The 27,264-nt window shown below is 39.5% G+C and overlaps 1 protein-coding gene across 22 annotated transcripts in view; it reads left to right on the top strand.

Annotated features, from left to right (window-relative positions):
- Nucleotides 1-27,264, top strand: part of LMNTD1 (lamin tail domain containing 1) — a 172,497-nt gene that overhangs the window by 143,372 nt on the left and 1,861 nt on the right. For 10 of the 22 annotated variants that reach the window (XM_047428413.1, XM_017018891.2, XM_011520578.3 and 7 more), the window contains 2 exons: nucleotides 1,407-1,469; nucleotides 5,211-5,355. In XM_047428413.1, coding sequence (XP_047284369.1) covers nucleotides 1,407-1,447 — 41 coding nt within the window. In that variant the 3' untranslated portion in view covers nucleotides 1,448-1,469; nucleotides 5,211-5,355. Of the gene's footprint in view, nucleotides 1-1,406; nucleotides 1,470-5,210; nucleotides 5,356-6,322; nucleotides 8,892-27,264 lie in introns of those variants that run through there. The other 12 variants (XM_011520575.2, NM_001256266.1, NM_152590.3 and 9 more) reach the window with 3 other exon arrangements.

The raw sequence follows: 27,264 nt of genomic DNA, 5'->3' as shown, positions 1-27,264 counted from the left end.
GCTCAAAAAAAAACCCAAAATTGCCATTACCCACTGACATGGAAACAGACAGACACCACCACTACTGACAGTCCTGTCATTCAATTTCAAAAACTTGTAGATGGGAATTTTCTACAGATGTTTGTAGCTCTAAAATATAGAGTACACCATTTCTTGAGGATAAACTTTCAGGGTACAATTGAAAACCTTTGTTCTTAGATTAGTCAGTCTGGAAGGACATACATAAAATATTTACAAGGTCTATTTCATGCCAACAAACTGCTCTAGAAGATTAGCCAGAGTCTTCTTATATCTAAGCCACTGCTTATAGTAAGGAAAATATCTTAGAAGCCTATTTATATTCTAGGTTCATAACTTACTATTTAGCAAGTTTATACTGTGATGTGCCAAACAGCATCCTGATTCTTTAGATTCAGAATCCTATTTGTGGCTAAGAAAATTACCGTGATAATCAGAAACACTCTTCATTTTTGTTAATCTTCCTTGTAGATCACATTTTCACTTCCAGCTTTGGATATTGTTTCTCTGTAATAAAATACCAGCAATTTAACTTGATAATTCTTCTGAGCTTGCATGGAAAAAGAAAGGCTTAGGTATGACTGAGGATATTTTCCTGTTTTATTTTGTTTTTTTCCAAAGGAGCTCATTATCGTCTACACCTAGGATATTATTTCGTTTTCTTCTCTTTTGTTTTACAGGAATAAAAATAACACTCATCTTTGGTCTAGAAGTAATTTGTACTTGGTATCATTCAATTCAACACTATTTTAGTTTGATACACTTGCTTCATATCTGGAAATTATATTTAAACAAAGTGACTTTCAATTCCTGCTTAAGTAGATGAGAGTAAGGAAGGCCACCATATCTGTCACCTCATTCATCACCAGGCTGGAGTTGACTGACATAGCAGGCGAAGCATCATCCCCTTCTGTCACATCCCTCCTGATGCAGCCAATTGCTGGACCTCCCTCCCCTAGCTACTTTGTCGTTATGGCAGTTCTACATATAGAAAGCATTTGAGGAATTTTACAGGCTGGTAAAATTATTCTGCAAACCTCCATTTTAAAAAATATATCTTCCAGATGGATATTTTGTGTCCCAAAATTTTGACTAATTATGTCCTGAAATATATGCTTCCTTTTAGAATGATTCATTGGAAACTTGAACTTCATAAGAATCAAATAATACTTTTCAGGTGGTTTTTAAACCACTTTGTTCAAGTCTCCCCTAAATACTATCCTGAAGCCACAAATTTCTTCTTCAAGTGAAAGAAAATCCTTTTGTTGTTAGCTTATTCCAGGATTTGTTTTAACATGGAAAAATCAATACTTGGAATACTGGACTGAACTCTTGCCCTTCCCTACCTAGCCTCTCTCCTTTTTTTAATTATTTTTTTTAATTTTCAGGGTCTAAGAAAAAGAAGACATCTGAGTCACAAAAGCAATAAGCAGTCAACTCAACCTTTAAAGGTAAGTAACTGTATTGCAAATTTGCTTTCTCCACAGAAAAATAATATGACTAAAGTAATGGGCAGAAATGTCTTTGAAAGTCATCAGAACATGGGTTGTCCTTATATATTCCATAGTCACTAATTTTCTGTTAAATATTTATGTTGCCTTTAGAGCCATCAGTTTTTGTCTTCATGTTGAATGATAAGCTTTCTAAGAATGGGAAATTGGAAATGTCACATCTTTACTTTTTGCCCCATATCCTCAATTTATCCTTGTTGATGGCTAAGCAATGAGCCCTTGAACTCCAGAGTCACTTCAAACACTCAAAAAACAACTCTGCAACTACACCAGTACATTTTAATTCCTATGAGCAAGAGAGTATTAATTACATCACAGAAATCACTCTGGCTAATGAGACTGCAGCTGTTCTCACTTGCTAAATGATATTGTATCATTTAATGAGTCAATTCCTATGTTGTATCATCTCTTTTTCACGATGATATCAACTAAGTAATTGAGGAATATCTCAACAAAGTTGGTTTTCTGTCTTTTAAGTGGTTGAGTTTAAATGCTTCCCTAAATAGCTAATGACAAGGTGGTGTTTTGATGAAGATTCCTTTTGGTTTGTGTCTTTCTCTAGTTCACATTCTTTGTTGCCCTCGTTCACTACTGGTCTATTTATATGTTTTCTTGTTGTTGTTGTTGTTTTCTGCCTAGGCTTCCTATTCTTTACTTGACTTAAGATGAAAACTACAGCCACGTGAACCCTAACTTGTTGGTATTCTGGACTCTCCTGGTAGAAATGACTTAATTTTACTACTCCATACAGCCTACTGGCTCTCCGGGTTTCTCCAGCTCTCCTCATGTATGCACAAGCCTATCAGGTTCTGTCTGATTGCTCAGCTGTCCAGTTTCTTTCAGCCTGTCTCTCCCTAGATTTTCCCTAATTGTCATCTTCTATTTTTCTGAAAGTCAACTGCTCTTTGTCAAGCCCACTCTCTCCATTCCTATAGCATCATATCCTTGAACTGCCAACTTCCTGAAAATGTGATAGCCACAACTTCTCTATTCAAAGCCTCCTTCACAGACATTTCTAGGACATTGGGACTGAAAAGGGACTTATCCAACCATTTTCCTTTAGGGCAAAAGAAACTGCAGTCTGAAGAGGTTATTTACCAAAATTAACCAGTAATTAACCACAAAGCCAGAACTAATCCCAAGGTATTTTAATGGCAAGAATTGTATTACTGGGAGCCAAGAATTCAGATTTGGCTCCTAGTAATATAGTCCTTGCTCCCGGAGATCCTGAGTTATGTCTACCTGGTGATCAATTTCCTTCAGTTGTCATAAGCTTTAGTAGTGTGCAATTGAAATGCAAAGAATGAGGTCTGAAATCTGCCCAGGCATTTAGCAACAGCACTTCCATAATTTGATTATGTTTCACTCCCTGTAGCCAGAGAGAATTCTACTGAATTTGCATATGAGTTGGAAAGGGGACATTTTATTGTATACAAAAAAAAAGGGGGGGAATTTTTTATGTTTTGCTTGGAAAAAAATGTTCTGAATCATCCCATTGGATATTGAATAACAATTTGGCAGAGGTTTTTAGCCTTCGTTGATCTTCCTCGGTTATTATTTTGCTTAACTACCACGGTAAAAGACTTGTTCATTGATCCTCTCTGTGGCATATTCTTTGGTAGCTTTGATTTTTTAAAAAAATCTGCCCACCCTGTTTTGAAAAGTTCTGGGCCTCCTAAGATGCCTTACTTCTGTTTTCTCAGAGCTCCCACCCCCCTCTGGTGGTATCTTCAGAGTTGATCATCAATGTGCCCTTCACTGTGCCCTTCTGAAGCCTTACTGGGAGCAAAATTTTACTTATTCAGTTTAACTGTTCATGAGTGGATGATTTATCTATTGCTATCAGCTCCTGAGTCGGACTTGTCAGTTTGTGGAAAATTGTTCAGAGATGAGGCAATTGTTTGTTTGGTTCTTACTGGTATTCATGAGCATCCTTGGCAACCTGTAATGCTGGACATTTGGATAGCATTTCATGGCTTTACATTATGTCACTTGAGCCTTTGAGGTAGGCAGGGCTGATACTATCTCCAGTTTATAGCTAAAGAACCTTCAGATCAGAGAGATTAAGTGACTTGCCCAAAGTCACTTAGATAGTAAGTAGCAAAGTTAAGACTAGAATCTCAACATGATGCCATTGCTCTTCCACACCACTCTGCTAATTAACCTTTAAGATTGTCTTTGTCTTTTTTCCCCACTCAAATTTGTCTGAAAGAAAGAAACACCACACATTTAGAAGCAGGACCAGAAGAAACATTTTCATTCACAAAAGGAGGAGTGGGCTACCACTGTTCCAAACTGCAAGAAAGATTTAGGTTCTACTTCTAAAATTGCTAATTTAACAGAATGCCAATTACAGAGACAAACAAGCAATGAAAGTTCGATCTCATGGCTGGGCACAGTGGCTCACACCTGTAAACCCAGCACTTTGGGAGGCCTAGGCAGGTGGATTACTTGAGGTCAGGAGTTCAAAGGCAGCCTGGTCAGCATGGTTGAAACCCCATCTCTACTAAAAATACAAAAATTAGCTGGGCATTGTTGCACATTCCTGTAGTCCCAGCTACTCGAGAGGCTGAGGCAAGAGAAATGCTTGAACCCGGAAGGTGGAGGCTGCAGTGAGCTGAGATTGCACCACTGCACTCCAGCCCGGGCAACAGAGTGAGCCTCTGTCTCAAAACAACAACAAAAACAAACAAACAGACAAAAACAAAGTTCAATCTCGAGTTTATTTGACCACTAATTACATTTCTGTGCAACAACTGATTAAAAGCATGCAATGTGCTCAGAGTCAGGCTCTCAAATGCTCTCCTTACTCAGTACCTTACAAAGAATGTGTGGGCATTCTGTTGTGTGACTAATGAACAGTGTCTGTGGGCGATGCCAAAGAATGCCACAGAAACAGAACTTTTCGCAAGTTAAGAGAATTCTGGAAAGGCCAGGTAATTTTCCTGTGTGGCTGCCACCTGTCGTGTGAACGTTTAGACTTGCTAGGAAATACTGAGGATTCTCAAAAAAAGTATAAAAATGGAAGAAAGAGCAGGGGAACAAATGGGTCTTGTTACAGATCACCAGAACTGTCCTCAAGAGTATGCAATTGCTTAGGACCCATAGAAAGCACCAACATTGCAAACACAGCATATAAACTCACAACCAGTAAACGCTCTTACACATAGGAGGCATTCCTAATAAAAGTGCTGGTGATGGAGTCTTTTCATGAACTGAGCTATGTTCACATATCTCTTACTGTCCTCAGTGGTCTAAACTGGACAGTCCAAACATGGGATATTCTTCTAGCCCTCCAAGGAGTGTTCCTTGGGACCTGACAAGAAGTTTTTATAACAGTTTCTCCTGGGGCCACTTTTTGTCAATGGGGAGTTGGTATTTAACCCCCAGAGAGAGGGACTAATATTTAATGCTCTTTAATGTGAAACCTGCCCTAAAGGAGTTTTGAAAGTCTAATAGTTACATTTTCTGATATCAGTGTTTTCTATCTCTACTTTGTGGCATATTCCTTCAATCTCTGCACTGATAATATGTTTCTCCTCTCAGCCCCAAGCTGATCTATCAATTTCCAAAATTTTTCAGTCAGTTGAAATTTCATGAATTTTTTTTTCCCACAACCTCCTTCTTTCAAAGAAGTACACTGTGCACTTCTTGTTAGTTACCCTGTTCTTGTTTTCCCAGCTTTACCTTTATGGTGTCATGGTCCAGTTGTATGGAAGAGTAAAAAGACCTGCAATCTAGGCTCCCTGCCATGCTGGCCAAAGACATTCCACAACTTAAAGAAAATCAAATGCCTGAGCAAACGTAGCGGGTTCCGCTTTCATAGAGGAGGCATAGAACACAAACATCTCAGGCTGTAATGCCTCCTACTAAGACTTCTACAGAAAATTCAAGCCTGCTGCACACAGGAAAACAAAGCTTGTTTTTGTTTTTTTTTTTTTCTATCACACTTTAAGTATGTTACCTGGTTTCTTTCAAGTCTGGGGCACACCTAAAATATTTAAAGGAAAAGATAATTAGGCACTACTCAAGTACCAGCAAGAAGAAAATGAAGGGTGTGAACATTTAAAAATGGGTCAGTAAACTGGCTGCCTCCAAACAATTTTGATCCCCATATTCAAAACCAGAAGTAAACAGTATCCATACCCAGATAATGAAATATAATAGCTAAGCTGCTTAGGCATAAAAGAGCCCTGAACATCATAAATCACCATTAAACTGTAAACTAAACAAGTGCACATTACAGAGTTGAGTTCACAGGGAAAAAAAAATGAATAATCCTTTCACCTTGGCAAAAGTTGAGTTCTCATAATTTCCTCCCATGGCTGGGCACTGTGGCTCATGCCTGTAATCCCAACACTTTGGGAGGCCGAGGTGGGAGTTCAAGACCAGCCTGGGAAACATAGTGAAACTCTGTCACTACAAAAAAAATTTAAAAAACAGCCGGGTGTGTTGGCACCTGGCTGTAGTCCCAGTTACTTGAGAGGCTGAGGCTAGAGGATCATTTGAGCCCAGGAGGTTAAGTCTGCAGTGAGCTAGGATCATGCCACTGCACTCCAGCCTGTGCAGCAGAGCCAGACCCTGTCTGAAAAGACAACAAAAAAGAATTTCTTTCCTGCTGTTACTGTCGTGCATCTGTGAGTATGATCAAGACCTGATGATTCTGGGTCTTAATTTAAGGTTAATATGAATGGAAAGACTCTGAACACCTTTACTTCATATTGCTATAACAACTGAAGCATTCCGGTCAGAATTACATTTCACCAGGCATTGCCATTAATTTTTTTGCTCAGGACAATAATATCCAAGTCTAGAGAAAATGAAGATGCCTAGCATGTTGCAACCAACCTTCATCACACAGGAGAGGAAGCCAGCAGCAAGCAAGCAAGAAAATAGTTTCTTTTAGATAAAAAAAATAATTCCTTAGGACTTTACTGTCACCATTTCTGAAAGAAAAAGCTAGAGTTAGTGGACAAGTTAAAGTATTTGTTTTCTAAGCAGTTGAGAAAAAAACATTGGTCAAAAGCAAAACCAGCACAGTCTTTATTTTGTTCACATGAAGTGCCCTTGTGACTTCAGTCTTTTATATCCAACCCAACTATCAAGTCTACAACTTCCACAGTTTCTACAGATGCATTTTCCAAAAGCATATGTGTCAGGAATTATGAATCTTGGAGTCTGTCTGATTCTCTACAGTTGGAATCTGTCTCCTTGAAGTATGGGGTTAATTCAGCTTCCTAATGAAAGAATGAGTTAAATTTCTACGGAGTAACCAGCTGGGAGTTTTTAAACCTGCCTACACTTATCTAAAATTTGCCAAAAAAGTCTCACCTTTCAGCTTGTGATACTTACTATGTGCAAAATCCCATGGACAGAACAGGAAATGACAAAGGAACAAAAATATTTTAATTAAATAATGTAATGGAGCTACCTTTTAAAAATGCCATCCTCAGTCCTTATTCTACAGCTATCTTATTCTATACCTATCAACAGTCTAAAAGTTTAAAAAAATGAAATATGCCAATTATTAATGTTGACCCTATTTGTAGTGAGAAAGTATGATTGCTTCAGATTCTGTGACAATATCCTGCCTATTCCTTGTAGCTCTATTTAAATTGATTCATGTATATTTATATAGCATATACAGGAAGATATGGTGCATACTTTCTTGGAGTTTGAGGGGAAGGAGAGAAGTGAGAATTTTTCCCCAATATCTTCTTTTAAAAGATTAAAAGTAAAATAACCCAAAAATTTTATCAGTGGTGACCATGAAGAGAAATTCATTGAGTTTTGTTGGTTTATTACACCCAAGCACCAAGAGCTAAAAATATATTTTTAAAAATATGCCAAGGGATTCAAACATATGCATTTTTTTTTTTTCAGATGGAGTCTCACTCTGTTGCCCAGGCTGGAGTGCAGTGGTGTGATCTCCACTAACTGCAGCCTCCGCCTCCCAGGTTCAAGTGAGTCTCCTGCGTCAGCCTCCCGAGTAGCTGGGATTACAGGCATCCGCCACCCTGCATGGCTAATTTTTGTATTTTTAGTAGCAACGAGGTTTCACCATGTTGGCCAGGCTGGTCTCGAATTCCTGACCTCAGGTGATCTGCCTGCCTTGGCCTCCCAAAGTGCTGGGATTACACGCATGAGCCACCATGCCCGGCGCAAACATATGCTTTTGTTGCAGGACCTTTCCTTAGTTTAGCTAAAGACGGGGTTCTTGTCTGTTCCACAGCCATGAAAATTTAGGCTCGCAGATGGTTAAAGGGTGAGTAAAGCAGGGTTTTATTGGGTGAAAGGGGGGTTAAATGGGAGAAACAGGGATCCTCTGCAAGGCCAGTCCCCTGCTACAGTGCTTCCCGCCGGCCGTTGAAATACCAGGTTCCACACAGGAAGAGGAGGGGCCGGTCTCATCCTCGCTGCAAAGGGCAGGAACCCAAGGCTCCACCTCAGTTGCAGGCTGATTGGAGTTTTTCCAGGGAACCCCTCCCACCTGGCTGACTCACTTTTGTACTAGTGTTCATAGACTATTATTCACAAAAGCCCAAAAATAGAAACAACACGTGTTCATCGACAGATGAATGGGTTTTTTAAAATCTGGTGTATAATACAATGAAATGTTATTCAGTTATTAAAAAAATGAAGTTCTAATACATGCTACAACGTGGATAAACTTTGAAACATTATGTTAAATGAGATAAGCCATACACAAAAGGATAAATATTATGTAATTTCACTTATCTGAATAAAAAATGTATAGAGATGGAAAGTATAACAGAGTTTACTAGGGGCTGTGCTGGAAAGGGGAGAATGGAAAGCTATTATTTAATGGGTATAGAGTCTCTGTTGGGGATGATGAGAAATATTCAGGAAATGGATAGAGATGATGGTTGCACAACATTGTGAATGTACTTAATGCCACTGAATTGTACACTAAAATGGTTAAAATGGTTTACAAAGTACTTCTAATAAAATATAGCTAGTATTTCCAAGATGGAAGAAAATCATATTCTAGTCTCAAGCCTCTGAGAAGATATCCATTGCTCAACAAAACAACTTTACGTATACTTTCTGGTTATACTGCAACATAAATATTTTCTAGTTGCTGGGCCACACCGTTGACATTATTTCCTCATTTTTGGACACTCCGGAGCAGACTTGTACATTTTCAGAAAACTGTCAATAACATTTTTTGCCACTTTGCACCATTAAGTGTTATCTTTGAATCAGGTGTTGGCCAAATCGTGTAGACTGTTCCGTTTTGTTCATGGTTACTATGGAAACTGTGCAGTCATAATGTTTTGAGGAGACTAGCAGGAAATTTAAGAGTGTACAATAAAAGTTAACTTATTTCATGGTTTAAAATTTCTTCCAGCTGTCTCCATTTGTGATGATTATCATGTTCACATTGGGAGTATAAACATACAACCAAAAGGGCTCTGGTGACTATGGCCAATAAGCCATCTCACCCCTAACAGACTTCCCTCCCAACCTCTTTTCCTCAAAGATTTGTAATAGGAACACGTGAAACAAGTGGTATGTAAGGTTCAGGTGTTTTCAATTATTTCCCTCCTATGAACAGAGGTTTCCTGGATCCAAAACATGTTTCAGCTCAAAGGGTTTTCCTTATTTTTGAAGATGGTGTTATCTCAGGAAAATTTCATCTACATATCTCTGATTCATTGATCTTCATCAATAAAGCATCTCCTTGGAGCTCTTCTACACAATTATTTCCTCCATGAGTAGCCAAAAATGTGGTATATTTAAGTATTTATTTTGTGAAGTGTGCTCTTAGAAAGTATATAACCTTTGCCCTTGCAAGAAAGAGAGAAATGAATGCTCAGCACTGGGATTTGTGGTAGATTCCTTGTCAGTTACATCACCACAGGGCATTCCAGCACAATGCCTCCACTATCTTGCTGCTCAGGAACTGTCTAGTAAGGCATAGGTGAGGGAAGATAGACTCATCTCTGATGGTATAAATAATTAACTGCCTAAATGTTGATGTTCATGCAGGACTATTCAGGCATTATAAAGAAAGAATGTGTTTTTGCAGCATTTTATTTTCCTAAGTTTCTATGAATAAAAGCTAAAAGATTGATTTTTAGGTTTCAACAGCCTTAGATAGCAATGGGCTTTATCTTATGGTGTCAGAAATTTGCCACTTCATCATCGCCCTCTGCAAGTTAGCAACAGCACTCTGTTTATAAATATCTTGCAGGAATTGTGAGTGTTACTTCATTAACATTTGAATGAGTAGCATTAATAATATTCATTTTAGGGAAACAAATTCATCTACAGATGGATGAACTAGATGAATACAATGAAAAATAAATCCAAAACTTTACCTACTGCTTTATACCCCCAAATAGATAAGCATTTTAAACTATCCTGCCTACACACACACACACACACACACACACACACACACGTACACACTTTATGATTTTGGCAGGAAATAGTAAAAGAAAATATGAAATGGTAAGCACTGGTCCTATGATAATGTTTTTGATTAATTACCAATGAGCTTTGAAGAGAAATCCAAATTCTCAGATAAGTATCAGGGCTAGAGTTCTTTTAGAGGGCAAACTTTTGCTATTCTTGGCCCTTCCTCCAGTGTCTAAGTAGAGGGGACATTAGCACTTAACCAATCTAAGTTTTACATTCGTAATAACAATACAACTTTGCAGCAATTGTTGCTCAAAGGGTACAAAGCTTCAGTTAAACAGGATGAACAAGTTCTGGAAATCTATTTTACACCCCAGTGACAGTTAATAATGATGTATTGTATACTTGAAAGTTGCTAAAAGAGTAGATCTTATATGTTTTTGCCACGAAACAAATGTTAAGTATGTGAGCATAAATGTTATTTTGATTGAATTAATCATTTCACAATATATAATTAATCATTTCACAATGTATACATACCTCAAAATACCATGTTGTACACTGTAAATATTTACTATTTTTATTTTTCAATCCTATGTTAATAAAGCTGGGGGAAAAAAATAATGTGACTTTGTGCTTAGACAATATAGATGGTTACCACTTAATTATGCTTATGAGAGTACTGACTTAAAATATATCTATATAAATTTATTCATAATCATATTCTTTGGAATACATTATGGAGACAAACCAGAGACAAGTAGAAATTTTGTTTTATTTTTGAGGTTTTGCTTTCCTAAACTTTTACTTTTCGTAGGCCAACGATAGTTTCAGTATATTCAATGCCATAAGATTATCAGCCTGTTATTTAAATTTTACAGCAATATGAAAAAATGTAAAACTTTTGGAATTGTTTGAGAATAGTATTATTCTGTCCTAAATAAGTTATGTATGTATCGGGATTATGGTCCGGAAAATGAGGGGAAAGTTTCTCTAAATAAGAAGTCAATATGATTACGAAGTGACCAAATTTTACCTTAATATCAACAGATTGCAAAGGTCAGTAATAAAACTCTTCTCTACCTTCTATCTGCATAGCACATTGTGTTTTATATTAGTCAATGAATAGAGTTCAGACAGAAGGAGGAACGTAGTCACAGGAGCATAACTACCACAAGAAATGGTTTTCAAGTTTATGTCTTATGCCTCCTACTATGCAGAAAACAAGGAGCCTCCTGGATAGGTTGGGGTGGGGAAGGAATCCACTTCCACGACTCCCCATTCACATGGTTGGCAAAGCGGTCCTGACAGCACATTCCTGTCCACAACGTCCTCTCCTTAAGGCAGCTGGGGCTTCCTCACACCTGGTCCCTAAGTTCCAAGGGTGAGTGGCCTAAGAAACAGGAAGTGGGAGCTGCCTATTTCTTAGGGTATGGATGCAGAAACCAACAGCATCCCTCAGACATGTTCTATTTGTCAAGCAGTTACAGAGCCTGGATTCAAAGGGAGGGAATATAGAACTCACCTCTCTGTAGAAGGCCTGTCAAAGGATTGTGTGCCATTTTAAACCCATTATTATTTGTAAATTGCCAACCAATTACTACTTTTCAACTTGATCTTGCCTTTCTAAATGCATTGGGAACGGGAATGTCTGCCCCAATCACTGACAATAAAATATATTCCAAGTCCACCCCAAATTCAGTTGGTGGACCCATTGAATCCTGATGTTTCAAAGAATCAGAACAAAGGAAGAGACTATGGCCTTTTATGTTTTGGGTGGGTATATTGTGAATTTAATTGAAACAAGGAGAATCTGTTTGAATACTTCTCTGAAGCAACAATTGGTTCTACAGATTATAAATTAACTCTTAATTCCTCGCACCACCTTTGTAGGACCCCTCAACATCTTTCCCTCTTCGTTTAGTCACTAAAATCCAGTGGGATTAGCTGGAGATATACTGTGAAGGGCTTGTAGTTTTGTTTAGTTTTTACCTTTCAAGCTTATTTTTCCCTGTTATGCATTGTAATCATCAGATATTTTTTGAGCATCTATTATACACTAAGCATGAAAATAATGTGTAAGAATAATACATTGTTCATACCTTTAAAGAAGTCATAGACCAGTGGGAAAGATACTTGTAATCAAATATTTAAAGAATCATAGAAGTACTACAACAAAACCAAATACAAAATCCTGAGGGTTCTTTGAAGAACAATAATTGCAGATAGGTGCCAAGGAGCTGATTTTAAGAGACAGGCTAGATGTTTCAGGCTAATGGAGAAAAGGAAGGCTGATCAGGACATGCAGCAAATACATGGAACACACTGGGCAGCTTTAAGGAATGGTCATTTATGTTGGTACGTTTAGAATATGGAATAAAAGAAGGAACAAGGAGATGAGTCCAGAAAAGTAGATTGTGAGCTTTGTATTCTGGGGCCAAGTGTTTGAACATGCTCCCATAAGTTATAGAAGAGAAAGAGTAATCCCAGCTTCTCCTTTGGAATCCAGCAGCATGTAGGATAGTGAGAGATGAAGATAGAATTTGTTCCACTATAAAATAGCGGTTATTTTTCTAAGAAACCTCAACCTTTTCAATCTTGCTTTTTATGACTTGCTTGAAAAAAGGTTTACCAAAGAAAATATGGATCATAGCATTTCTAGCTCACATGTATAGATATAAAACCTAAAAATCATTGATTGATCAAATACAGTGATGACATCTAGCTTTGGCTTCAGAGTAAATGTCTGCCTTTGTTATCAGCATAGACTTCTTAAAATTCTTCTCTCCTTTATCATCTACTATCTGAATGAACAAAGCATAAAATATTCGTGACAAGTTTTTTTCCCCTAAAAATTCAGTGTTAAGCCAATATCAATCTATACAATGCAACTCATGATCCCTAATTAATAAATTACACATTGTTCCATCTCCGCTATGAAAATATGCTATAGGGAAATTGACATGTGCAAGGAGCTGTCTCAGGAAGTAAGAAGGACATCCTTTAAGAGTATCAACCTAAATTGAAAAGTTGGCTTGAATTATTATGCTAAGCCTATGCTATAACATTTTCAGGTAAAAACTTGATGGATATTCCAGTCTTAAGACTTTTGAAAAAATGTGTTCATAAGATTGACTGATATGTTCTTCTAAACTTGTCCTGCTGGTTTTGCCAAAATGCTGCACCATTTAGTTCACATTACTGTTCAAGATCCCACAATGACTCTTACTTTCCCATAGTTTGAAATCTAAAGTAAACTCTAATGTTTGCTAAGTTTTCTGGTTGATTTCTGGACGTATATCTCTCCCTTCTGTGTTTATTTGTGCAATCACTGCCTCAATTAGCACCTTATTTTATGTAAATTATCAACTCCCTAAATGTTCCCAAGGACTCCAGCTTGCTAAAGTTACCTTATCCTTTTAAAAGGCTAACAAAAAATTGGCTTGTAACCTGCCCCCACAATGGGAAACCTATTGTCTCTCCTAATAACTCTGAGGAATGTTGATTGTTTAGGGGTTAAGCTTCCCTGGTCACTAATGACCTCCTGGTGAATTCCCCATGGTCTATCCCTGTGTTGCCTTCTGTGCATGCTGTTCTTTCCCAGCAGCACATCACCATCAGGCTGGCACCACCTCAAATCCTCCAGCACCAAACTACTTTCTACACAAGACTGTATGTGTCCAGCCCACATTGCCTTGGGGCAATAGAGAGAATTTGTTACTTGGTCTATAACCCAGCAAATAACTTAGAACTGAAAGTTTATTGTCTCTGAAGTCTTTTGGGCATTCCCATCTCTAGCAATTTCTCAAGGACTTTCTCCCCATACAGGCACGTTACGTTGCTCCATCAACCTTCCTTTCTCGTCTCTTTTCCTTAGCTTCATAGTCCAGTTCTAGCTCCTCCCCACCACCCCTCTGTAGACTTTCCTGTTACTTCTCTTATAGAAAGTTTCTCTTTCAAGCTTTTTTGGTTAAATAAGGTTAGTCTTGTTCCAAAAGAAACACATTTCAGATACAATGTCTGCTTCATACTGCATTATACCCATTGCCCCACTCTCTTGATCAACATTTGATTTTCTCCGTATAAAATGCTAAGTTTCCTTTGGTAATTATTTTATAGAAAAAAGGGGAAAAAATGATCAAGCACCTATGTGGTAATCAGCCACTGAACTAGATACTTTTAACTAGTTATCATTTCATCCTCAGGCGGCACTGGGCCCCAACACCAGTAGCCAGCTAGAGCTCATCTGTAGCTGCTCCATCTCTATCTGGCAAGAGCCATATGGTTTGCCTCAGTCAATTATTGATTTCACTTTTATAAAGGCATGCCACTTTGCCTTTTGTAACCCTGGAATTGTGTTTGTCAAAGACTAGTCCTTACAGCAGTTGCATTGCATTAGGTGGGAGTTTGTTAGAACTCCAAGATCTTAGAACCCACCCAGACCTACCAAATTAGAATCCACATTTTAACTCTCTTCCTGGGTGGTTAGTGTGCACATCAGATTTAGAGAAGCACAAATCTCCATATATTACTAGGTTCACAGTATCTTTATAGATTCTTGTTGATTAATGTCTGTATTCAATTAGGATTGCTGGCTCAGCATTAGAGGACATTGATGACCCTATATTTCCAGAAGCAGCAGCAAAATAACTGTCCAAAAATAAAGGGAAGGCTTTAGTTCTGAATTTAAACTATTTGCAAAAACTTAAAAACTGATTTTCATGTTTATAGTTCCCTTCCGCACCTCTGTAAAATGAGGTTTCCTTTTTCCATACCTTAAATGTAAGAATGTAAGGGCTTCACTTCTAACTTTTATAGAATGATCCATTCCACCTAGATAATAGATTTACTACTTTTGCTCATTGGCAACTAAAGAGTATATACCTTGTTCAGATTTGTAATTGCCAAGTGTTTTAGAAATGAGGCCCTTGAAAAAGGATATTATAGTTTAAACTTCACTTAATGTTAAAAAAAATATTATGGTCAATAGACCCTCTTTGAACTTCCCAAGTGGAGTTTTGCTAGTTCTTTTGCAACTAGCAAAAAACCCATTGTGAATATCTGTCATTTTCCATAGTTTCTTCGCTAGCTGTAGGTTTGTTTGCTTGCTTATTTCTTGCTAACTTTTTAAACAGGAGGGATTAGAGAAAAGTAAGGGATAGTGTTACAGAAGAATACATTACACATTACAGGCTTATCCAAAGCCTTCAGATACCGAACAAATTGTGGGGTGGAGAAGCAGAGAGTTAGAAAGGATATTTGCTGAACTGGTTTTTATTTACAGTCAAATAGTTTAAAAAGAAACTAAGCTTTCTGGTTTCCTTTAGATTTTTATCAGTACCGTTTTTACAGTTTCTCTTTGGCATCAAAATAAATCTTTCTGATATATTACTTCAAGTGAAACCAATAAATTTATAGCCACAACATAAAGATTTTGGAAGCTTTTTCAACATAAAGATTTTGGAAGTGCTTTCAAATATTTGAAATCAGTACATACAATCCTTATATCCTGAATCGTCATTCACCTTTTTATTTTTCAATAATATCACCAGGTTTTCTTTTGTAATTTCATTTCTTTTGCAATTTCATTACAAGCGAGTTTCTTCATAACTACTTAAAATGGCTATTGGGGACTGAGAGGGGAGGAGCCAAGATGGCCGAATAGGAACAGCTCCGGTCTACAGCTCCCAGCGTGAGCGACGCAGAAGACTGGTGATTTCTGCATTTCCATCTGAGGTACCAGGTTCATCTCACTAGGGAGTGCCAGACAGTGGGCGCAGGTCAGCGGGTGCGCGCACCGTGCGCGAGCCAAAGCAGGGCGAGGCATTGCCTCACCTGGGAAGCGCAAGGGGTCAGGGAGTTCCCTTTCCGAGTCAAATAAAGGGGTGACGGACGCACCTGGAAAATCAGGTCACTCCCACCCGAATATTGCGCTTTTCAGACCGGCTTAAAAAACGGCGCACCACCAGACTATATCCCACACCTGGCTCGGAGGGTCCTACGCCCACGGAATCTCACTGATTGCTAGCACAGCAGTCTGAGATCAAACTGCAAGGCAGCAGCGAGTCTGGGGGAGGGGCGCCCGCCATTGCCCAGGCTTGCTTAGGTAAACAAAGCAGCCGGGAAGCTCGAACTGGGTGGAGCCCACCACTGTTCAAGGAGGCCTGCCTGCCACTGTAGGCTCCACCTCTGGGAGCAGGGCACAGACAAACAAAAAGACAGCAGTAACCTCTGCAGACTTAAATGTCCCTGTCTGACAGCTTTGAAGAGAGCAGTGGTTCTCCCAGCACACAGCTGGAGATCTGAGAACGGGCACACTGCCTCCTCAAGTGGGTCCCTGACCCCTGACCCCCGAGCAGCCTAACTGGGAGGCACCCCCCAGCAGGGGCACACTGACACCTCACAAGGCAGGGTATTCCAACAGACCTGCAGCTGAGGATCCTGTCTGTTAGAAGGAAAACAAACAGAAAGGACATCCACACCGAAAACCCATCTGTACATCACCATCATCAAAGACCAAAAGTAGATAAAACCACAAAGATGGGGAAAATCAGAACAGAAAAACTGGAAACTCTAAAACGCAGAGTGCCTCTCCTCCTCCAAAGGAACGCAGTTCCTCACCAGCAACGGAACAAAGCTGGATGGAGAATGACTTTGACGAGCTGAGAGAAGAAGGCTTCAGACGATCAAATTACTCTGAGCTATGGGAGGACATTCAAACCAAAGGCAAAGAAGTTGAAAACTTTGAAAAAAATTTAGAAGAATGTATAACTAGAATAACCAATACAGAGAAGTGCTTAAAGGAGCTGACGGAGCTGAAAACCAAGGCTCGAGAACTACGTGAAGAATGCAGAAGCCTCAGGAGCCGATGCGATCAACTGGAAGAAAGGGTATCAGCAATGGAAGATGAAATGAATGAAATGAAGCGAGAAGGGAAGTTTAGAGAAAAAAGAATAAAAAGAAATGAGCAAAGCCTCCAAGAAATATGGGACTATGTGAAAAGACCAAATCTACGTCTGATTGGTGTACCTGAAAGTGATGGGGAGAATGGAACCAAGGTGGAAAACACTCTGCAGGATATTATCCAGGAGAACTTCCCCAATCTAGCAAGGCAGGCCAACGTTCAGATTCAGGAAATACAGAGAATGCCACAAAGATACTCCTCGAGAAGAGCAACTCCAAGACACACAATTGTCAGATTCACCAAAGTTGAAATGAAGGAAAAAATGTTAAGGGCAGCCAGAGAGAAAGGTCGGGTTACCCTCAAAGGGAAGCCCATCAGACTAACAGTGGATCTCTCGGCAGAAACCCCACAAGCCAGAAGAGAGTGGGGGCCAATATTCAACATTCTTAAAGAAAAGAATTTTCAACCCAGAATTTCATATCCAGCCAAACTAAGCTTCATAAGTGAAGGAGAAATAAAATACTTTACAGACAAGCAAATGCTGAGAGATTTTGTCACCACCAGGCCTGCCCTAAAAGCTCCTGAAGGAAGCGCTAAACATGGAAAGGAACAACCGGTACCAGCCGCTGCAAAATCATGCCAAAATGTAAAGACCATCGAGACTAGGAAGAAACTGCGTCAACTAACAAGCAAAATCACCAGCTAACATCATAATGACAGGATCAAATTCACACATAACAATATTAACTTTAAATGTAAATGGACTAAATTCTCCAATTAAAAGACACAGACAGGCAAATTGGATAAAGAGTCAAGACCTATCAGTGTGCTGTATTCAGGAAACCCATCTCACGTGCAGAGACACACATATGCTCAAAATAAAAGGATGGAGGAAGATCTACCAAGCAAATGGAAAACAAAAAAAGGCAGGGGTTGCAATCCTAGTCTCTGATAAAACAGACTTTAAACCAACAAAGATCAAAAGAGACAAAGAAGGCCATTACATAATGGTAAAGGGATCAATTCAACAAGAAGAGCTAACTATCCTAAATATATATGCACCCAATATAGGAGCACCCAGATTCATAAAGCAAGTCCTGAGTGACCTACAAAGAGACTTCGACTCCCACACATTAATAATGGGAGACTTTAACACCCCACTGTCAACATTAGACAGATCAACGAGACAGAAAGTCAACAAGGATACCCAGGAATTGAACTCAGCTCTGCACCAAGTGGACCTAATAGACATCTACAGAACTCTCCACCCCAAATCAACAGAATGTACATTTTTTTCAGCACCACACCACACCTATTCCAAAATTGACCACATACTTGGAAGTAAAGCTCTCCTCAGCAAATGTAAAAGAACAGAAATTATAACAAACTGTCTCTCAGACCACAGTGCAATCAAACTAGAACTCAGGATTAAGACCAATATCCTTGATGAACATTGATGCAAAAATCCTCAATAAAATACTGGCAAAATGAATCCAGCAGCACATCAAAAAGCTTATCCAACATGATCAAGTGGGCTTCATCCCTGGCATGCAAGGCTGGTTCAATATATGCAAATCAATAAATGTAATCCAGCATATAAACAGAGCCAAAGACAAAAACCACATGATTATCTCAATAGATGCAGAAAAAGCCTTTGACAAAATTCAACAACCCTTCATGCTAAAAACTCTCAATAAATTAGGTATTGATGGGACATATTTCAAAATGATAAGAGCTATCTATGACAAACCCACAGCCAATATCATACTGAATGGGCAAAAACTGGAAGCATTCCCTTTGAAAACTGGCACAAGACAGGGATGCCCTCTCTCACCACTCCTATTCAACATGGTATTGGAAGTTCTGGCCAGGGCAATTAGGCAGGAGAAGGAAATAAAGGGTATTCAATTAGGAAAAGAGGAAGTCAAATTGTCCCTGTTTGCAGACGACATGATTGTATATCTAGAAAACCCCATCGTCTCAGCCCAAAATCTCCTTAAGCTGATAAGCAACTTCAGGAGTCTCAGGATACAAAATCAATGTGCAAAAATCACAAGCATTCTTATACACCAACAACAGACAAACAGAGAGCCAAATCATGAGTGAACTCCCATTCACAATTGCTTCAAAGAGAATAAAATACCTAGGAATCCAACTTACAAGGGATGTGAAGGACCTCTTCAAGGAGAACTACAAACCACTGCTCAATGAAATAAAAGAGGATACAAACAAATGGAAGAACATTCCATGCTCATGGGTAGGAAGAATCAATATCGTGAAAATGGCCATACTGCCCAAGGTAATTTACAGATTCAATGCCATCCCCATCAAGCTACCAATGACTTTCTTCACAGAATTGGAAAAAACTACTTTAAAGTTCATATGGAACCAAAAAAGAGCCCGCATCGCCAAGTCAATCCTAAGCCAAAAGAACAAAGCTGGAGGCATCACACTACCTAACTTCAAACTATACTACAAGGCTACAGTAACCAAAACAGCATGGTACTGGTACCAAAACAGAGATATAGATCAATGGAACAGAACAGAGCCCTCAGAAATAATGCTGCATACCTACAACTATCTGATCTTTGACAAACCTGAGAAAAACAAGCAATGGGGAAAGGATTCCCTATTTAATAAATGGTGCTGGGAAAACTGGCTAGCCATATGTAGAAAGCTGAAACTGGATCCCTTCCTTACACCTTATACAAAAATCAATTCAAGATGGATTAAAGATTTAAACGTTAGACCTAAAACCATAAAAACCCTAGAAGAAAACCTAGGCATTACCATTCAGGACATAGGCATGGGAAAGGACTTCATGTCCAAAACACCAAAAGCAATGGCAACAAAAGACAAAATTGACAAATGGGATCTAATTAAACTAAAGAGCTTCTGCACAGCAAAAGAAACTACCATCAGAGTGAACAAGCAACCTACAAAATGGGAGAAAATTTTCGCAACCTACTCATCTGACAAAGGGCTAATATCCAGAATCTACAATGAACTCAAACAAATTTACAAGAAAAAAACAAACAACCCCATCAAAAAGTGGGTGAAGGATATGAACAGACACTTCTCAAAAGAAGACATTTATGCAGCCAAAAAACACATGAAAAAATGCTCACCATCACTGGCCATCAGAGAAATGCAAATCAAAACCACAATGAGATACCATCTCACACCAGTTAGAATGGCAATCATTAAAAAGTCAGGAAACAACAGGTGCTGGAGAGGATGTGGAGAAACAGGAACACTTTTACACTGTTGGTGGGACTGTAAACTAGTTCAACCATTGTGGAAGTCAGTATGGCGATTCCTCAGGGATCTAGAACTAGAAATACCATTTGACCCAGGCATCCCATTACTGGGTATATACCCAAAGGACTATAAATCATGCAGCTATAAAGACACATGCACACATATGTTTATTGCAGCATTATTCACAATAGCAAAGACTTGGAACCAACCCAAATGTCCAACAATGATAGACTGGATTAAGAAAATGTGGCACATATACACCATGGAATACTATGCAGCCATAAAAAATGATGAGTTCACATCCTTTGTAGGGACATGGATGAAATTGGAAATCATCATTCTCAGTAAACTATCGCAAGAAGAAAAAACCAAACACCGCATATTCTCACTCATAGGTGGGAATTGAACAATGAGATCACATGGACACAGGAAGGGGAATATCACACTCTGGGGACTGTGGTGGGGTGGGGGGAGGGGGGAGGGATAGCATTGGGAGATATACCTAATGCTAGATGATGAGTTAGTGGGTGCAGCGCACCAGCACGGCACATGTATACATATGTAACTAACCTGCACAATGTGCACATGTACCCTAAAACTTAAAGTATAATAAAAAAATAAATTTAAAAAGAAATGGCTATTGGGTCAATTCTCTCATAATGTACTCACCCATTCACCTAGGGGGTATTTAAATTCCTTACCAAATGTTTCTTATTACAAACAATGCTGGGCCAGGCGCAGTGGCTCACACCTGTTATCCCAGCACTTTGGAAGGCTAAGGCCAGAGGTTTGTTTGAACTCAGGAGTTCAAGACCAGCCTGGGCAACATAGAGAGACCCTGTCTCTTAAAACAACAAAAAAACGAAAAACAACAATGCTTCAAGAAGCATATTCATGCAAATTATTTTTCTACGTAAACACTTTTATTTTAAAAACAAAAATAATTTAGAAAGAAGTTGACTTTAATTGAAAGCTCTAATTGGATAAAGTATATTTTCTAAATATGTCTCTTTCATTCTCAACTCCCAACATTTTTTTTTAATTTACAAAAGAAAAACACAAAAGTTAACTATCCGGGTGACTTAAATACACTTGTTTTTTTCTCAGTCATCTGTCAAGTTTGAGGTTAATCGCTTTTTGGCTGAACTTTGTAGAAATAGACATAACCAAGAAAGGTTAGTCAGCAAGTTAAAGCTCTTGGTCCTCTGTCATATTTAGCTCTTCAGACTATTTATGTCCAAGTGTTTTAACCAAGGAGTTAAATGGTTAGATTTCTCATTCATAGATTGTTTGGGGTTATTACCCAAGGAACTTAAGCTTTAACCGTCAACTATGCATTCTTTTTTTTTTTTTTTGAGATGGAATGTCACTCTGTCGCCCTGGCTTGGAGTACAGTGGCGCAATCTTGGCTCACTGCAACTTCCGCCTCCTGAGTTCAAATGATGCTTCAACCTCAGCCTCTTGAGTAGCTGGGACTACAGGCAAGCGCCACCATGACCGGCTAATTTTTGTATTTTTAGTAGAGGCGGGGTTTCACCATGTTGGCCAGGCTGGTCTGGAACTCCTGACCTCAAATGATCCACCCACCTCGGCCTCCCAAAGTGCTAGGATTACAGGCATGAGCCACCATGCCCAGCCTAACTACTCATTCTTAAATGCCCACATTGATATTTCCTTTTTAAAATAATTGTTTAATATAAATTTTTGAGACAGGATCTCCCTTTGTCACCAAGCTGGAGTGCAGTGGCATGATCATAGCTCACTGCAGCCTCAACCCCTGAACTCAAGCAATCCTCCCTCCTCAGCCTCCCGAGTAGCTGGGACTAAAGGTGCGCACAACCACGCCTGGCTAATTTTTGTATTTTTTTAGAGACAGGGTTTTGCCATGTTGCCAAGGCTGGTCTCCAACTTCTGAGTTCAGGCAGTGCTCCCATCTCAGCCTCCCAAAGTGCTGAGATTATAGGCATGAGCCACCACGCCCAGCCCACATTAAGACTTCTTATATCCATTTTAGTCTCTGCTCTTTGTCCTTAATTTTTAAGGGTTGTGTTAAAATGCAAGGTAAACACAAATGCTGAAATAAGTGATGAGCAAGTACCCTAAAGTTAGGAGGCAGAGATTACTGAACTGTGTGGCAGTTGTTATTGTCACTGCTTTGAAAACCTTAATCTTAAAGATACTTTACCAAACTAGATGGGTCCTGTAAGTGAACACACGCTCCAAAGTGCACTGCGGCCCGACAGCATTCTTTTCCGTGAACACAGACTTTCTGGGCCTCAGAATGCTGTTGACAAATGATAATTAATTTAATTGTCAACAGCTGTTTCCTAAGCGTGTGCCTCTTCAAGTGAGAGGCAGGACATAAACACACTCACCAACTCAGCACCAGGAGGATTAGAGAAGGGTCCTGCAGACATTCTGTGCTTGCTCTGGACACACAAGAGAGGCTTCTGGAAAAACTGAAAATAAGATGGATACCACTTCCTGTTTCTTCATTTTAGGAGCAGCCACTTGTTTCTAACGCTTAAATTTTATGACTGATTGACACTTGGAAACATTTTCAAAGATATATTCAAAATTTAGCTGATTTTGTTCAAAGGAAAAGAGACATCCCCAATTCATTGTCAAAAAGCATAATGGGTCAACAGATCTGTATTAATAATCCCTTATTGTAGCACTTAGATTTGTGTTAAATCGAAGGCTTCAGTTTCTTTTTTTTCTTCATGAAAGTAGATGGACTATCTTAGAACTTTAAGATTGACTGTCTCTGACAACTATAAAAAAATATAGTTACTGGGGGATGTAAAATTAAAGCTGATGGAGATTGCTGAAGTTAATGTGGTTCTGGGATTAACATGCAGGGTTAAGTTATTTGTTCTTAACATGTTATCTTCTATTGATTCTAATCAAACACAGCCAGTTCATCACTTTACCTCATAACTTTCAAATGTGTACATGCTGATGACAGCAATTGTATAGCCTAAAGTTTAAAGCAGAATATGAGAAATTACTTCTTCATTTTTTGCATCCATTTTATCCTCATACTTATCCTGAAATGTTTTCCAAATTATTTCATTTATTTCTATAGTCAGCTATTTTCCATTACCACAAGGGAAGGAAAATACTGCTGAAGAGACTTAGGTTTCAAAGAAACATTATTGCTCAACTGAGGGTCTTTAAATACAAACCTAGAGAAATTTTTCAACCACCTTTCACTATATGTGTGTGTGTGTGTGTGTGTGTGTGTGTGTGTGTGTGTGTGAAGAGGCAATATATTACTATATGTTGATGACCTCACGTAAGTAAACTAGGTAGTTAGGTTGCGATTTGAAAGAACCTGAGTGCTCGAGAATCTCTCTACAGCCACAGCCGTCACACAAGATACCCTCTTCAGAGATTTAAAGAATTTCTATTGGGATTTAGCCTGTTGTCTATCCAGCCACAGTTTAGCAGTGATAAGTTCTATGTTTTACAGAACGATCCTGATTTCAAATCACCATTTTATTGTCTTTGAATCCTCAAAATTTTCCCAAAATATGGCAGCATTAGTGCCCAAAGTCTATGTTGAGGCTGCACAGAAATCTGGAAGTGTCTTTAAAACGTCAGACACGTGTATCAAATTTTGGTTTAGAAAATACTTTGGTGGTTGTACACACAATCTAGGAGAGTAATATATGAAGTTATTTGCAAACAACTTAAATATAGAATGACTTGCCTGCTATGTTCTCTGTGCTAGGGAGATCCTGGACTGGTGCCAAGGGCAAGAAACAGACAAAATTATCTGTCTTCATGAAGCTTGTACTTTAGTGATGGGAAACGAACAATATACAAAATAAATACTTTAAGATAGCATGTTGGAAGGTGGTGATATGCTGGAAAATAAACCGAGAAGGATGATAAGGAACTGCTGAAGGAGGTTTACTTTGATTCAAATAGGATGGACAAGGAAGGTGTCACTAAGAAGGTGACATGTCAGCCAGTACTGAAGAAGGCAAGGGAACAAGCCACGTGGGATGTGGAGTGAAGAGTTCAGCAGTAGAAATGGCAAGCCCAAAGACTCTGTGGTGGGAGGAATAAGAGGGGGGTATAACTGGGACCAGTGAGTATGGGAGGAGAGTAGATCAGAGAGGCAACCAGTAGAGCAGGTCTTGTAGAGCCTTGTGAAATAAATTACCTTGATGCCTAAAGATTCTTGACTTTACGGAATAGTATAGGCCTCAGTTATTTGGACAGCAAGCTAGACAGGCCCACCTGTGAGATAGGGTATCTTTACCTCATGGTTGACCCACATGGATCAATAGTGCCTTGTTGGCTCAACTAGCTTTGCTGTTATCTGTGGATTTCAAATTATTTAGGGACTATAAAGACATATGCATCTGAAAATATAGTAATATTAATACAAGGTAGTGCCTTGTTAGAAGCAGATAAGGTGCTGGCAAATAAACTTAGCAGAGAAAAATAATCAGGCATTCAATTCTGGAAAGGATTTTAGGATAAAGGGAGAATGGGTCTAGGTTTTTAACCATCCTTGGTATTTGGAAAGAGCAGCACAAAGTAAGATGATCTGCATTGGCCAAGACAGAAAAGCCCAGGTCTATTGAGCAGACAGAGGATTGACCTTTTTGACTACAGCATAGGATCAGGAGCCGCCTTGCATCCTTCCACCTACTACATTATTTCTGCTATCCCTCTGCACCTAGGGCTGCTGCTAGGCCACAGAACACCTTTCTGCAAGTTTGAGAAAGGCTCAAGTGTCCCTTCAAGACACTACTTTCAGCACTGGAAAGCTGTGGCATACTGATGTTGTGAGAACAAGATGCTTTACTGCCATCTGCCAGAAAATCATGATAAAATACAAATGCACCATGCCTACAATGGGAGTGCATGCCCTCAAGTTGCACACTGCACAAACCATACAACCATGTGTGGCAGCCACACATGTAGAAGAAGGTGTGAATAAGTCTGGATAGGAACTATTTAATCTGAGTGTGAAGGTATTTGTATTGTACGTGAGTGCTCACCATTGGGTGACCTCAGCAGAGGAGGATTTTAATAATCAAGTGGATAGGATGCACTCTGTGGACACCACTCAGCCTCTTTCCCCAGCCACCCCTGTCATTGCCCAATGGTCCTGTGAACAAAGTTGTCATGGTGGCAGGGATGGAGGTTATGCATGGGCTCAGCAACATGGACTTCCACTCGCCAAGGCTGACATGGCTACGGCCACTGCTGAGTGCCCAATTTGCCAGCAGGAGAGACCAACATTGAGCCCTTGATATGGCACCATTCCTCAGGGGATCAGCCAGCTACTTGGTGGTAAGTTGATTATATTGGACCTCTTCTATCATGAAAAGGGCAGCGATTTGTCTTCACTGGAATAGACACTTACTCCAGATATGAGTTTGCCTATCCTGCACATAACACTTCTGCCAAGACTACCATCTGTGGACTCATTGGAAGGCCTTATCCACCGTCATGGTATTCCACACAGCATTGCCTCTGACCAAGGCACTCACTTTACGGCTAAAGAAGTGCGGCAGTGGGCTCATGCTCATGGAATTCACTGGTCTTACCATGTTCCCCATCATCCTGAAGCAGCTGGATTGATAAAACAGTGGAATGGCCTTTTGAAGTCACAATCACAATGCCAACTACATGACAATACTTTGCAGGGCTAGGGCAAAGTTCTCCAGAAGGCTGTGTATGTTCTGAATCAGCATCTAATATATGGTACTGTTTCTCCCATAGCCAGGATTCACAGGGCTAGGAATCAAGGGGTAGAAGTAGAAGTAGTACCACTTACCATCACCCCTAGTGATCCACTAGCAAAATTTTTGATTCCTATTCCCACGACAATACGTTCTGCTAGTCTAGAGGTCTTAGTTCCAGAAGGAGGAATGCTTCCACCAGTAGACACAACAGCGATTCCATTAAACTGGAAGTTAAGATTGCCACCTGTACACTTTGGGCTCCTCCTACCTTTAAGTCAACAGGCTAAGAAGGGAGTTACAGTGTTGGCTGGGGTGATTGACTCGAGCTATCAAAATGAAATCAGTTTACTACTCCACAACAGAGGTAGGGAAGAGTACTCATGGAATACAGGAGATCCCTTAGGGCATCTCTTAGTATTACCATGCCCTGTGATTAAGGTCAATGGGAAACCACAACAGCTCAATCCAGGTAGGACTACAAATGGCCCAGACCCTTTAGGAATGAAAGTTTGGGTCATTCCACCAAGAAAAAAAAAAAATCATGACCTGCTGAGATGTTTGCTGAAGGCAAAGGGAATACAGAAGGGGTAGTAGAAGAAGGTAGTCATCAATACCAGCTTTTTTTTTCTTGAGACAGAGTTTCGCTCTTGTTGCCCAGACTGGAGTGCAATGGCACAGTCTCGGCTCACTGCAACCTCCGCCTCCCAGGTTGAAGTGATTCTCCTGCCTCAGCCTCCCAAGTAGCTGGGATTACACGGTACCCACGAACACACCGGGCTAATTTTTGTACTTTTTAGTGGGATAGAGTTTCACCATGTTGGCCAGGATGGTCTCGAACTCCTGACCTCAGGTGATTCGCCCACCTCGGCTTCCCAAAGTGCTAGGATTACTGGCATGAGCCACCTTCTTTTGTTAAAAACTTGTTTGTGCATGTATACACTTGTACTAAGAAAATATCTTCATTTTATTTCCTTTCTCTTTTATCATGTAAGATTTATTGACTTCACATCAGCACATCACATCAGCATAAAGTATTGTTAACTTTATGTAATAGTATTTGGGTTGGGGATTGGTGCATTTCCGGTTGTATGAAGGATAGTTATATTATCTTAGGTGTAATTATGACCTTATTATTGTCTTTATTTGAAGATTATGTATGATCTCAGGAGATGTGTATGGGTTCAAGTTGACAAAGGGTGGACTTGTGATGGTTAATACTGAGTGTCAACTTGATTGGATTGAAGTATTGATCCTGGGTATGTCTGTGAGGGTGTTGCCAAAGGAGATTAACATTTGAGTCAGTGGGCTGGGAAAGGCAAACCCACCCTTAATCTGGGTGGGTGGGCACAATCTAATCAGCTGCCAGTACGGCTAGAATATAAGCAGGCAGAAAAATGTGAAAAGACAGACTGGCCTAGCCTTCCAGCCTACATCTTTATCCTGCGCTGGATGCTTCCTGCCCTCAAATATCGGA

This window comes from Homo sapiens, chromosome 12 (genome assembly GCF_000001405.40).
Source record: "Homo sapiens chromosome 12, GRCh38.p14 Primary Assembly".
NCBI lineage: Eukaryota > Metazoa > Chordata > Mammalia > Primates > Hominidae > Homo > Homo sapiens.
This window is presented reverse-complemented; position numbering and strand designations above follow the sequence as displayed.